Here is a 12,731-nt window from a genome sequence, read left to right on the forward strand (position 1 = left end):
AATGACAAACCTAGAGACTTTTAGGAAATAAAAGTGACTTCTACCCATCTATAACTTTTAAATATATCTTTCAGATGTACTTTTGAAAACAGAGTGATTATTCAGCTGAGGATTATACAGAATGTTAATTGTTTAATCACTACTTCAGTACTAAGGTTGCGTATGATACAATATATGATTGGAGGATAAGCAAACTAAAATTGACATATAGTTATTTGACTTCTAAAAATATCTGTCCCTGACAGAGCTCCCTTAGCATATGTTTAGCATACTTTTCCTTAATCTTTGAAATTTATATTTCTCCTATTGCCCTCATTTCTTTGGAAGTGTCTCATATGGTTTCACACACACATAGTATGAGTTAAATACTTTTTACGGTATATGGAGATGGTGCTGATAATGAGGCCAAGATTACTGGTTTGATTCTCTCTCTGTTCCTTCTTGGTATCGTTTGCTGGTTCCTCATCTTCTCTCAGTCTCTTAAAGGTTGATGCTTGCCAGGGTTCTCTGCCAATCCGTATCTTCTCATTCTATGTTTTCTTTCCCCAGACGACTTCACCCATTTCTAGCACTTCGCCCTCTAGCCATCTGCATATCCTCCCATCTTCACATACAAAGGAAAACACACAGCCTTAGACTGAGATGCTAGCGCTGGATAGGTATACTCCCTGTGTACACTAGGAGACTGGGCTGTGTTAAGGGCATGTGAAAAATCTTAGATGTTAAACAACTATCTTCAGCAGAGAGTGTACCAATGGTTAGATGGTCACTCCCTCCTGTGCACTGAAAATGTGCCCATGGCTTCTGGGACTTGAAGGCCACATAGGGTGGTATTTTTCCCATCCAGTGGCCCAGTTGCCAGATGGCTCCTTGAATACTGGTAGCCTTCTATCATTGCAACATCTTGGGCCAGGATAGTGCAGCCTAGGTACAAAAAGGTCCTTTGGCTTTCTGAATTCAGCAGCTTGTTTTGATAAACTCTTTGGCATATAAAGAGAATAAAGAAAGTCACTTTTGGGGGTGATCAACTGAGCTTTCATCAAAGTCATTTCCAAGTATACAGCTACCCACCATTTTTTAGTCATGATAACTTTGCTTTCTGTATTACAAAAACCCATGCAGGAGCATAATTATTTTAAAAACAATCACAGCCATTTTAATAGAACCAATACATCCTACAGGGGGTGGTGTAGCTGGTATACTGATTGTCCATAAAATGAGTTGGTTGCCTCTCTAACTGCTATACATTAGGCTAACATCACTTTGAAAAGATAACTTTGTTTTGGTTTCCTTAAACAACAGTTTAAATACTTGAATAAATTTTCCTTAATCATTGAAAAGACACAGAAGGGCTTGAGTCACTGTTGATGAACAATTGCATCATTTCAAAGTAAATGAGTATGAATCATCAATATGTAAACACAGTCATTCCAGAATATACAGGCAAACACTAGTAATTCATACAGTTCTTTGATTAGAAGGAATCAGATTCATTTTAATCATGAGTTAGCTCAATTAGATGCTGTTTAATTCCATTCCTGTCCTAAACTTATTATAGTCATGGTAGCACAATTTAACTGATTTTCTTATCCAATAGCCTAAGCCTTTTTCATGGTATAATGTGGTGCAAAGGCTGATATGTCAAAAATTTATATAGGTAGAAAATTCCATTATAACTCCAATGATTGGTAAGCAGAAGTTGTTAATCACAATGTAGAATGTAGCAATTCAGCTCATCTGTCACAGAATAAGTTATTTTTCTAATAAAATTAATAAATGATGTAATTTAAAAGTTTTTCTCAATGAACATGTTTAAGGACTGGCTAGGGAGTATAAAAATGTTAATCATACCCGCTCATTCCAGAAGCTTTTTCAATAGTGTTCTTGATTTTTTTTCTTACATAGCACATGAAAAGCATGAAATTATATGGCAGCAAGACATATTTAAAGAATCCCGTATGATAGTCTACTTAGGGCATCTGTTTGAAACATTAACATTAGGAAACACAAACCTATTCATTCTCTCTCCTCCCACCCCCATCTTTTTGTTATTTTAGACAAACAAAGGTGATGCACTTGCCAACCGAGTCCAGAACACGCTTGGAAACTATGATGAAATGAAGAATTTGCTAACTAACCATTCTAATCAGAATCACCTAGTGGGAATTCCAAAGAATTCTGTGCCCCAGAATCCCAACAACAAAAATGAACCAAGCTTTTTTCCAGAACAAAAGAACAGAATAATTCCACCTCACCAGGATAATACCCATCCTTCAGCACCAATGCCTCCACCTTCTGTTGTGATACTGAATTCAACTCTAATACACAGCAACAGAAAATCAAAACCTGAGTGGTCACGTGATAGTCATAACCCTAGCACTGTACTGGCAAGCCAGGCCAGTGGTCAGCCAAACAAGATGCAGACTTTGACACAGGACCAGTCTCAAGCCAAACTGGAAGACTTCTTTGTCTACCCAGCTGAACAGCCCCAGATTGGAGAAGTTGAAGAGTCAAACCCATCTGCAAAGGAAGACAGTAACCCTAATTCTAGTGGAGAAGATGCTTTCAAAGAAATCTTTCAATCCAATTCACCGGAAGAATCTGAATTCGCCGTGCAAGCGCCTGGGTCTCCCCTAGTGGCTTCCTCTTTATTAGCTCCTAGCAGTGGCCTTTCAGTTCAAAACTTCCCACCAGGGCTTTACTGCAAAACAAGCATGGGGCAGCAAAAGCCAACTGCATACGTCAGACCCATGGATGGCCAGGACCAGGCACCGGACATCTCACCAACACTGAAACCTTCAATTGAATTTGAGAACAGCTTTGGGAATCTGTCATTTGGAACACTCTTGGATGGAAAACCCAGTGCAGCCAGTTCAAAGACTAAACTGCCAAAGTTCACCATCCTCCAAACAAGTGAAGTAAGTAATTTTTAAAGTTTTGTTTGGTTTCACTTTTTTTTAGTTCTCTGCTCTAACCTCTATAATCCAGTATTCACAAGCAGCTCTCATTTACCTTAATGAGCTGTATAGGATACTCTTCAAGTTCAGGGTCTGAATTTTGATCTTCTGTCACTTGTGACATAACTGATTAACACGCTGCAAATAGAGTTAAATCTCAATAATTTGGAATGACAGAAGACAAGGTCGGTCTGACTGAAAGAATGACAAGTTGGAGTTATAAAATAGTTTCATAAAATACAGTTGTGGTAATACTATGTATAAATTAATAACATTTGAGATTATAATTGGTCATAAGTAGTATGAGGTTCATGAGAAGATTGCGAGTCACTATATGCCTTCACTACTCAGTAGCATATTCTAAACCTAAAATACAGAAGTTCCTTAAAGTAGAAGAATGTAGAACTGTGGTTTGCTGGAACCTGAAGTAGAAGGCGTTCTTTAAGAATTTTAGTTTCTTGAGTGATTACAGAGCTATTCCTTGGCAAGATCTTAATGTTTTCTCCCGTATCCATCAATCTTCCCTTCTGCATCTCCTTCCTCCACAGGTATCTACATAGCCCTTTTATTCTACTTTCATCCTTTCTGTCAAAGCAAAAAGCATTACGAGCAACCAAAAGCCCACTGGTTTAGAATGAGTAAATATCCTACCCATCTCAGGAATCATTGCCTTGTAAAAGAGAAGTCCAGAGGCACCAAAGCCTCTTCTAAGGAATGAATCGCTAATGATTGGATTCCAGGCCTTGTGGCCCCTGGGTGGGGGTCATGCATGGTGCTGCCTCTCAGACACTACCATGTAAGCGGCTGTCTACTGCACCTCAAGCGTTTGATTGGAAGAAGCCACTGCCTTTAGATTGGATTCCTGTCACTGGTGACTAAAGGCTTGAAATAACACAGAGGAAGAAAGTAGGGTTAAATTCTTACTCAATAGGAGTGACAGGCAGTCTGTCTGAATGGTTGTAGATTCCAAGTTAGTGGTATCTGAGTTAGAGAAGTGTGACCCTATAAGCACCCTGGCTCTCCTTCCTTTATTTATCCTCAGCAGATGCGGTGATTTCAGAGGACGATGGGAACATAAAGGGAGGGAGGCCTGGGGCTGTTGACTATATTTTCTGAATGTATGTTTTTAATATTGTTTCATTTCTGAGGCAGTTTTGCTTTTTGTATCATCATTCATCAAGTCTTGTCAAGCTTCCTCTTAAGTATCTCTCCAGTCTGTCATCTCTACCCCCACTGCCTTTGAACCACCTGTGAGCCTTCAGTGGACTGCTGTGAGAGCCCCTCTTGACTGGTCTCCTTCCCTCTAGTCTCACCTCTCTTCCATACCATCCATGCAGGCTCATCTAACAGGCAGATCTGACCATGTCACTCCCTGCTTTTGATTATTCAGTACCTTCTCATCACTTCCAGGGAAAAGTCCAAATTTCTTAGTCACACATACAAGGCTCTTCACCCTTTAGTTTCATACTCCTTTTTTGGCCACATATTTCACTACTTCTTCATGTGCAGTTGAAATCCCAGCCATATGGGACTACCTGTGGTTCCCTGTCATGTCATGCTTTATCACGCTTCCTTGCTTTTTGGCTTGCTGTCCCCTCAGCCTAGAATGTCTTTCCCCACCCTCCCTTGTCTTCCTGGTAAAGTCCTGTTTCTCCTTCAGGTCTGGTCAGTTGTCACCTTCTCTGTGAAAGCTTCCCTGATCCCCTCAGCTTAATTAAAAACCCCTTTGTCTTGGCTCCTCTAGCACCTTCTATATGCCCTGATTGGCACCGACTCCATTGTATTGTAGTGATTTAGTTATGTTTCTATCTCCTCTACTAGACTGTGAGCTCACTAAGAGCAAGGAATACCTCATTCTCTCTGTATCCCAAGCGCCTAGCAAATACTTAGCACATAGTAGATACTCAATAAATGTTTGTTGAATGAATGAATTTCAAAAATGGTTACTTGATTACATTTTCTAAGCCACAATGTTAATCAAATAACATGCACAAATGTGAACAATTGCTAGGAAATCCATCATGAGTTATATCTTTTTCAGTTGTATTCTGTCTGCCTGTTTCTTACTCTGCTCTGCTCCTGTTCTGTCATTGAGAAATCCTAGCCATAATTTCTACTGAATGACTTAATACAGGCTTTAATACTTAAAAATCAAAAAAGAGATCTGCTTTGAAAAAGTACAAGTATAATGGGAGGTGGGGATATCATTCTTGTTTCTTCTTTTGCCCTGGTATCTGCTGCTGTTCCCTCCTTACACAGCCAGAACTGATCTGGAAATAGCACTGCCCCATAAAGCAGTCTGTCAGCCTGTTTCCATACCTCATTAGTAGAGTGACAAATCACAGACCCAGCGAAATCCACCCTGTTGTAATTCTCTCTCTTATACATTCACAAAATGGCTGACCCAGATTCAGAAATGACTTCATGCTTTCACTCAGTGCTCTGGCACACCAACGAGAGGTACATTTTCAAAGACAGTCTGAGCTGTCATCAGCTCTGGAGACGATTATCCCAGGAGCAGCCTATGTGCTTGCAGCCTTTGGTGATGGTACAAACAGACCTTGCTAGAGCTCTGTATGAAAAATGGGCCAGGTGCAATAAAGTCATGATAGGAGATCAGTGAAGAAAGTACTTATTTTAAAATATGGGTTTCAAGGAAGGATTTGACAGAAGAGTAGAGAGAAGCTTAAAGCCCTAAAGTCAGGGGCATATACAGAACCCAAGGGTAATGTGAAAACCAAAAATAGGAGGAAAGGAAAAGAGAGGTTACACGGCCCAACAAGAGAGCTTAGAAGGGTGCAGATTAAAATGCGGGCATAAATATAGACAGGGAGGAGCATTATGGAGCTTTGAACCTAATGGAATTTATGTGGCTAAAACTCTGACCAAGTCTGAAAATTCACCCTATTAAATCTTGATGCACTTTTCAAAAGCACTTAGCATTAGAATTCAGCCCCAGTTCCTGGCGCCAAGGAGTTTCAGGCACTAGGTTCCGGGTCTCTAGTCAGTGTAGCCATCTTTGATGAGTGGTAGCATTACTCTGAGTTATTACCAAAAAGGCTTATCCGTGGAGCAATCACAGTATTTCTTTGAGTATTCTCAACTTTTTCCCTGGCTTTAGTGACAGGAGGTTGATGAGTGTTAGTGAAGTGCATTTGTGGGGAGGGTGAAGCAGGATGGGTTGAATGGCCAGAAAACAGACAACATTCTAAGCTATACAAATAAGCAGATAACATTATATTTATGAATTGAGAGATCACAAACTATTATTGAAATGTGATGTGCAAGTGTGTGTGCCCATGTTTGTTTATGTGTCCACATGTTGAGTATATAGTGGGGAAATTTTTATTTTTTATCCTTGAATCATTTCCATGCTTCTTAGAATTTCTGTATCAACAATAAGGATATTAGAAGTATAACCAACTTTATTGCAAAAGGTCAGCTTTTCAATTGAGGCATGTCATTTTAACAAATAATTTGTTTAAAAACTTTCTGTTGGCCGGGTGCAGTGGCTCACGCCTGTAATCCCAGCACTTTGGGAGGTTGAGATGGGCGGATCATGAAGTCAAGAGATCTAGACCATCCTGGCCAACATGGTGAAACCCCATCTCTACCAAAAATACAAAAAATAGCTGGCCATGGTGGCACACACCTGTAGTCCCAGCTACTCGGGAGGCTGAGGCAGGAGAATAGCTTGAACCCGGGAGGCAGAGGTTGCAGTGAGCCGAGGTTGCACCACTGCACTCCAGCCCGGTGACAAAGCTAGACTCTGTCTCAAAAATAAATAAATAAATAAATAAATAAATAAATAAATAAATAAATAACAAAACTTCATGTCATAGAGTTTATTAACATTCCTGGCAACAACAACAACAAAATGCTGATGTGTTCTGCAGTTGGGTTTAGAAGAATTTTCTCGGAACTGCATCTGAAAACAGTAAAAGGCCTATTTATATCAAGTGGAAACTGAGGGTTGCTTGCAGATGGTGCTTTATTAGGAAATGAATTTGTTAATAAACGTAGCTTTATACATTTCTTTACAGAAATTTTTGTTCATTTTTACCTTAGGATAAAAATCTGCTGGTGTAGACAGCTCTGCATTTTGGTGCAATTTGTTATTAGTATAGCTTGCCAAGTAAATAATCACATGCACATGAAAGGATTGATATCACATATTAAATGTCTCCATCCTAAGTCAGTAAGCTTTTGAAAGTACAAAACTAACGTGTAGAGTGTCATATCCCTAAAGGGTCATTTGCTTTACATGCTGCTCTTGGCTGTGATCTAAGGCTATCTGAGGCTCCAATTGCCACAAAACTAGTGGCCTTAGAAAACTTTAATAGAAATGGTGTGGGATTTGTCTGTAGCTTATTTTAGTGGTTAGCTTTGTCAACCAGCTGAAAAATTATTGCTCACATTTGTGACTGTGCCTGTTTTGTTTCACACCCTATGCAGTGAACACTGTGAGTATAATTACCTTTATTTATTGTGAGTTAGATAGTAAACTCAGGTCCCTTGTGTGAGAACTGCAGAGAATGCTAGGATATTACCATTGATGTTCTAGATATGTCCATGCAGCTACACAGAAAAGAGACAGCTGCTTCAATGAATGGAAGGCCATCCAGTTGCTGTTTACAACTCATGCTAAGAATTTTTCACTTGATGTATTAGTCTGTTTTCATGCTGCTGATAAAGACGTACCTGAGTCTGGGCATTTACAAAAGAAAGATATTTAATGGACTTACAGTTCCACGTGGCTGGGGAGGCCTCACAATCATGGTGGAAGGTGAGAGGCATATCTCACATTATGGCAGACAAGAGAGGAGAGCTTGTGCAGGGAAACTCCCCCTTATAATAACCATCAGACCTTGTGATACTTAGTAACTGTCATGAGAACATCACAGCAAAGACCTTCTCCCATGATTCAATTACTTCCTATTGGGTTCCTCCCACAGAGCATGGGAATTATGGGAGTTACAATTCAAGATAAGATTTGGGTGGGGACACAGCCAAACCATATTAATCCACCCCCAGCCCCTCCCAAATCTCATGTCCTCACATTTCAAATCCAATCATGCCTTCCCAACAGTACCCCAAAGTCTTAACTCATTTCAGCATTAACTCAAAAGTCCACAGTCTAAAGTCTAATCTGAATCAATGCAAGTCCCTTCCGCTTATGAGTCCATAAATTCAAAAGCAAGTTAGTTACTTTCTGGATACAATGGAGGTACAAGCATTGGGTAAATACAGCTATTCCAAATGGGAGAAATTGGCCAAAACAAAGGGGCTACAGGCCCCATGCAAGTCCAAAATCCAGCAGGGCCGTCAAACCTTAAAGCTCCAAAATGATCTCCTTTGACTCCATGTCTCACATCCAGGTCATGCTGATGCAAGAGGTGGGTTCCCATGGTCTTGGACAGCTCTGCCCCTGTGGCTTTGCAGGGCGTAGCCCCCCTCCTGGCTGCTTTCATGGGCTGGCATTGAGTGTCTGTGGCTTTTCCAGGTGCATGGTGCAAGCTGTTGATGGATCTACCATTCTGGGGTCTGGAGGTTGGTGGCCTTCTTCTCACAGCTCCACTAGGTGGTGCCCCAACAGGGACTCTGTGGCAGCTCTGACCCCACATTTCCCTTTCACATTGTCCTAGCAGAGGTTCTCCATGGGGGCCCCGCCTCTGCAGTGAACTTCTGCCTGGGTATCCAGGCATTTCCATACATCCTCTGAAATCTAGGTGGAGGTTCCCAAACGTCAGTTCTTGACTTCTCTGCACCTGCAGGCTCAACAGCATGTGGAAGCTGCCAAGATGTTGGGTTCCATTCTCTGAAATGACAGCCCAAGCTTAGCCCCTTTTAGCCATGGCTGGAGCAACTAGAATGCAGGGTACCAAGTCCCTAGGCTGCACAGAGCAGAGGGCCCTGGACCTGGCCTATGAAACCATCATTTCCTCCTAGGCCTCCTGGCCTGTGATGGGAGGGGCTGCTGTGAAGACCTCTGACATGCCCTGGAGACATTTTCCCTATTGTCTTGAGGGTTAACATTCGGCTCCTTGTTACTTATGCAAATTTCTGCAGCCAGCTTGAATTTCTCCTCAGAAAATGTGATTTTCTTTTCTATTGCATTGTCAAGCTGCAAATTTTCCAAACTTTTATGCTGTGTTTCCCTTTTGAAATGGAATGCCTTTAACAACACCCAAGCCCCCTCTTGAATGCTTTGCTGCATAGAAATTTCTTCTGCCAGGTACCCTAAATCATCTCTCTTAAGTTCAAAGTTCCACAAGTCTCTAGGGCTGGGGCAAAATGCCACCAGTCTCTTTGCTAAAACGTAACAAGAGTCACCTTTGCTCCAGTCCCCAACAAGTAACTCATCTCCATCTGAGACCACCTCACCCTGGATTTCATTGTCCATATCATTATCAGCATTTTGGTCAAAGACAGTCAACAAGTCTCTAGGAAGTTCCAAACTTTCCTGCATTTTTCTGTCTTATTCTGAGCCCTCCAAACTGTCCCAATCTCTGCCTGTTACCCAGTTCCAAAGTTGCTTCCACATTTTCATGTATCTTTTCAGCAGCACCCCACTCCTGGTACCAATTTCCTGTATTAGTCCATTTTCATGCTGCCGATAAAGACATATCTGAGACTGGGCAGTTTACAAAAGAAAGATTTAACGGACTTACAGTTCCATGTGGCTGGGGAGGCCTCACAATTGTAGCAGTAAGTTAAAGACACGTTTCTCATGGCAACAGACAAGAGAAGAGAGCTTGTGCAGGGAAACTCCCCCTTATAATAACCATCAGATCTCGTGAGACTTACTGACTATCACGAGAACAGCACAGGAAAGACCTGCCCCCATGATTCAATTACATCCCACCAGATTCCTCCCATGAAGCATGGGAATTGTGGGAGTTACAATTCAAGATGAGATTTGGGTGGGGACACAGCCAAACCATATCACTTGAGGTATATCACCAGTTTATTTTTTTGTGCATTCTTATGAAAATACAATAGTACTGAGTCCAAGGCTATATCTGGGCTATTTCCAAACCCATCAAAATGAAGGGATAACTTTATACTTTTAGGGTGCCAGAAAAGACTCTTGAACTTAGTATTTGTCTTATAGCTGTGTGGAATCTAGAAAGCTTTGTACCTTCTTCTCTGCTAGTCCATCCCCTGGTAGTTGCATTTTGTTTATGCTTTTTTACTAACTCTTCCAACTCACTGGTCTCATTGGTATTCAAATTCATTTTCTTATCATATTCCTCCTAACTTTCTCTTCATATTTCCCCTAACTTTAGTGTCTCCCTAAGCTAAATGAAGTTGTCTCCAACTGAACATGTGTAGTTGATAGTAATACAAATAGAATACCTGGCTTTGCATTCTTTGTGATGGGAAGGTTGGAGATGCTAAAAGAGAAGTGATTAGGAAGGGTGTCCTGAGGAGGGGAGACTGAGACCATTCTCACAATAGCAGGACTGATTTGTCAGTCGGGGACACATAGAGGTAACCAGGGAGGGTTTCACAGAGAATGAATGGGAAGTTTGTTTTGAACTTGGCCTTTAATATTGGGTGGTATTAGAGTAGTTCAAGAGGAATCTGGAGAGCAGTTCATATGTGTGCATATTAGTCATATTAGTGATGGATAGAGATAATAGCATATACAGAAAGGGGAAGTGAGTAAAATGTGAAGTATATTCTAAGGATAAGCCAGTTTATCTGCAGCTGCGGGTATGTGGGACCAAAGTGAGAGAGCTCAAAAGCCAGACTGTCACTTATCTTGAATTTGTAGGCAATGTGGCAACCAGAGTGTAATGCTGAACTTGGCACGTTACTTTCCCTGTCATCCTAGGAGACCTAGGAATTCTCTCAAGACCATTGCCATCATCAATTCAAGCAGTAATTTCTGAGCTTTCCCAGGTTTGTTCTCTACTTCCCTACAAGAAAGGACATCTCAATTCTTCTCTTGTAACCATCCATTCTTTTTCAGTGTGCTTCCCCAAGGATTTTTCTAAAGTAATGCCGAACTGGCTATTTTATACCATACTTTTCTTCCCTTGGAGTCCTTGTCCTCCGCTCACCCCCTTTCTCCTCCATTTTTTTCATTGGCATTAGTCAAACCCAGAGATAGCTCTCAAGGATGGCTTCTTAAAGAGTATGCAAATACTTGGGATTTTTTTTCTTTCTTTTTCCTCAAGTCCTCTTCTTTCTCCTATGTATTTTTTTTTCTTTTCTAAGGCTGTATGCAAGTGGTTCTAGCCATCAGCATCCTAAAACAATGTCAGTGATTTCAACATGCCATTGTGTAGGTAGATCAGAGTATTTGGTTTCAGTGCATCTTTCTTGGTGCACTTTGCTTTTAAAGCCTTTGTCATTGTTTAACACTTTTTTTGGTTGGAAAGAAACCAAAAGATTGATTTATTCTTACTCTGTTTTAACAAAATTTAATTCTTATGTTATACACATTTCTGTCATCATTATTAATAATGATGCAATTTAAAACAGCACTATTTGATAATTTTAGTGATTCTTCATGAGGCAGTTGAAAATAAATCTCTACTTTGGAAAGTGTGAAATATTGCAAAGCATAGTTTTAATGAGGTATACTGAGATGTGGGTTTCTCTTCTGGCCTGAACTTTGTTTGTAAAATTAAGAGAGTTATTTTGCCTTTCTAGGGCTTTTGTCACATGAGGAGATTAGACTAACTCATTGGTGGGGTTGCTTACAGCTCTAAATCTTCTCTTTGTAGTTAAGCCCAAACCTATCTTGTTTGTATAGTAATTTCAGCCATTATCTCCCCCACCCATAACCCTCTAGGAGTATCCACAGTAGAACAACATGAAGGGATCTGAGCCCTGCCGGCACACATTCAGAACAGTTTCTGACTTTGTAAGACTAGGTAAATATGGGAAGACTCAAATTGGATCTTTTTAGGGATTGACTACCAATTCAGCTGGGGTATTCTTATATTTCACCTTTTTTTTTTTTTAAGGTAACAGCTATATGCTGAATTTTACCAGAAAGTACCAAACTGTAGACTCAGCACATAGCCTCCTAATCCTTTTGTCACCACCCACTAAAATAATGAAAGATAGAGAACTCCTATTTTCACATTACTTCTAGGAAAATATTTTGACAGATTCAGTATGCAGTAAAATGGTAAGCTTTTGTTACGTGTGTTCCAAATCATCTTGTTATCACTGGATATATCGATTAGTTCAGTACTTTCTGAGCCAGTCATAAAAAAAGACTTCTCTCGTTCTGCATGAAAGAATAAGAGAAATTGAAAGGTAGATAACCATATTGATTCAACCCAAATAGTAAATGCAAGGGGCTTTAGACATAAGTCATAAATCTCTTTATGGGAGTTGTAAGTCTGTTTGGTATTTTCTATTTGACATGAAAGAAAATAATCTCTAATTAACCATCATTTTAAAGTGAACTATGCTTTGATTTGAGTTTATAATACAGGTGCCAATAACATAAACCTGTTACCTTTATACTTTGTAGTTTACAAATGCCTTCATATGTCTTATCTTGATCCAGTTCTAATGGGGTCTGGAATTATCATAATTTTCTTTTCTGCAGAAACTTAGTCTCGGAGAGGCTAAGCGTCACTTGCCTAAAGGCACACAGCCAGCAAATGGCTATGGCAGGACCAGGACCCAGGCTTTTAGTGATACTTCCACGTGGCATTTGGTGTATGGTGTGCTACTGTATATGTATGGGTTAATTTTCTAAAAGTAGCTCCTCTACTGGCACGTAAAGGGCAAGAGAATAATGAG

The 12,731-nt window shown here is 40.4% G+C and overlaps 1 protein-coding gene across 5 annotated transcripts in view; it reads left to right on the plus strand.

The window, feature by feature from the left end:
• AFF2 (ALF transcription elongation factor 2) overlaps window positions 1-12,731 on the plus strand; it is a 500,047-nt gene that overhangs the window by 159,234 nt on the left and 328,082 nt on the right. For all 5 annotated transcript variants that reach the window (NM_002025.4, NM_001169124.2, NM_001169123.2 and 2 more), the window contains exon 3: window positions 2,058-2,918. In NM_002025.4, coding sequence (NP_002016.2) covers window positions 2,058-2,918 — 861 coding nt within the window. The remainder of the gene's footprint in view (window positions 1-2,057; window positions 2,919-12,731) is intronic.

This window comes from Homo sapiens, chromosome X (genome assembly GCF_000001405.40).
Source record: "Homo sapiens chromosome X, GRCh38.p14 Primary Assembly".
NCBI classification, from domain to species: domain Eukaryota; kingdom Metazoa; phylum Chordata; class Mammalia; order Primates; family Hominidae; genus Homo; species Homo sapiens.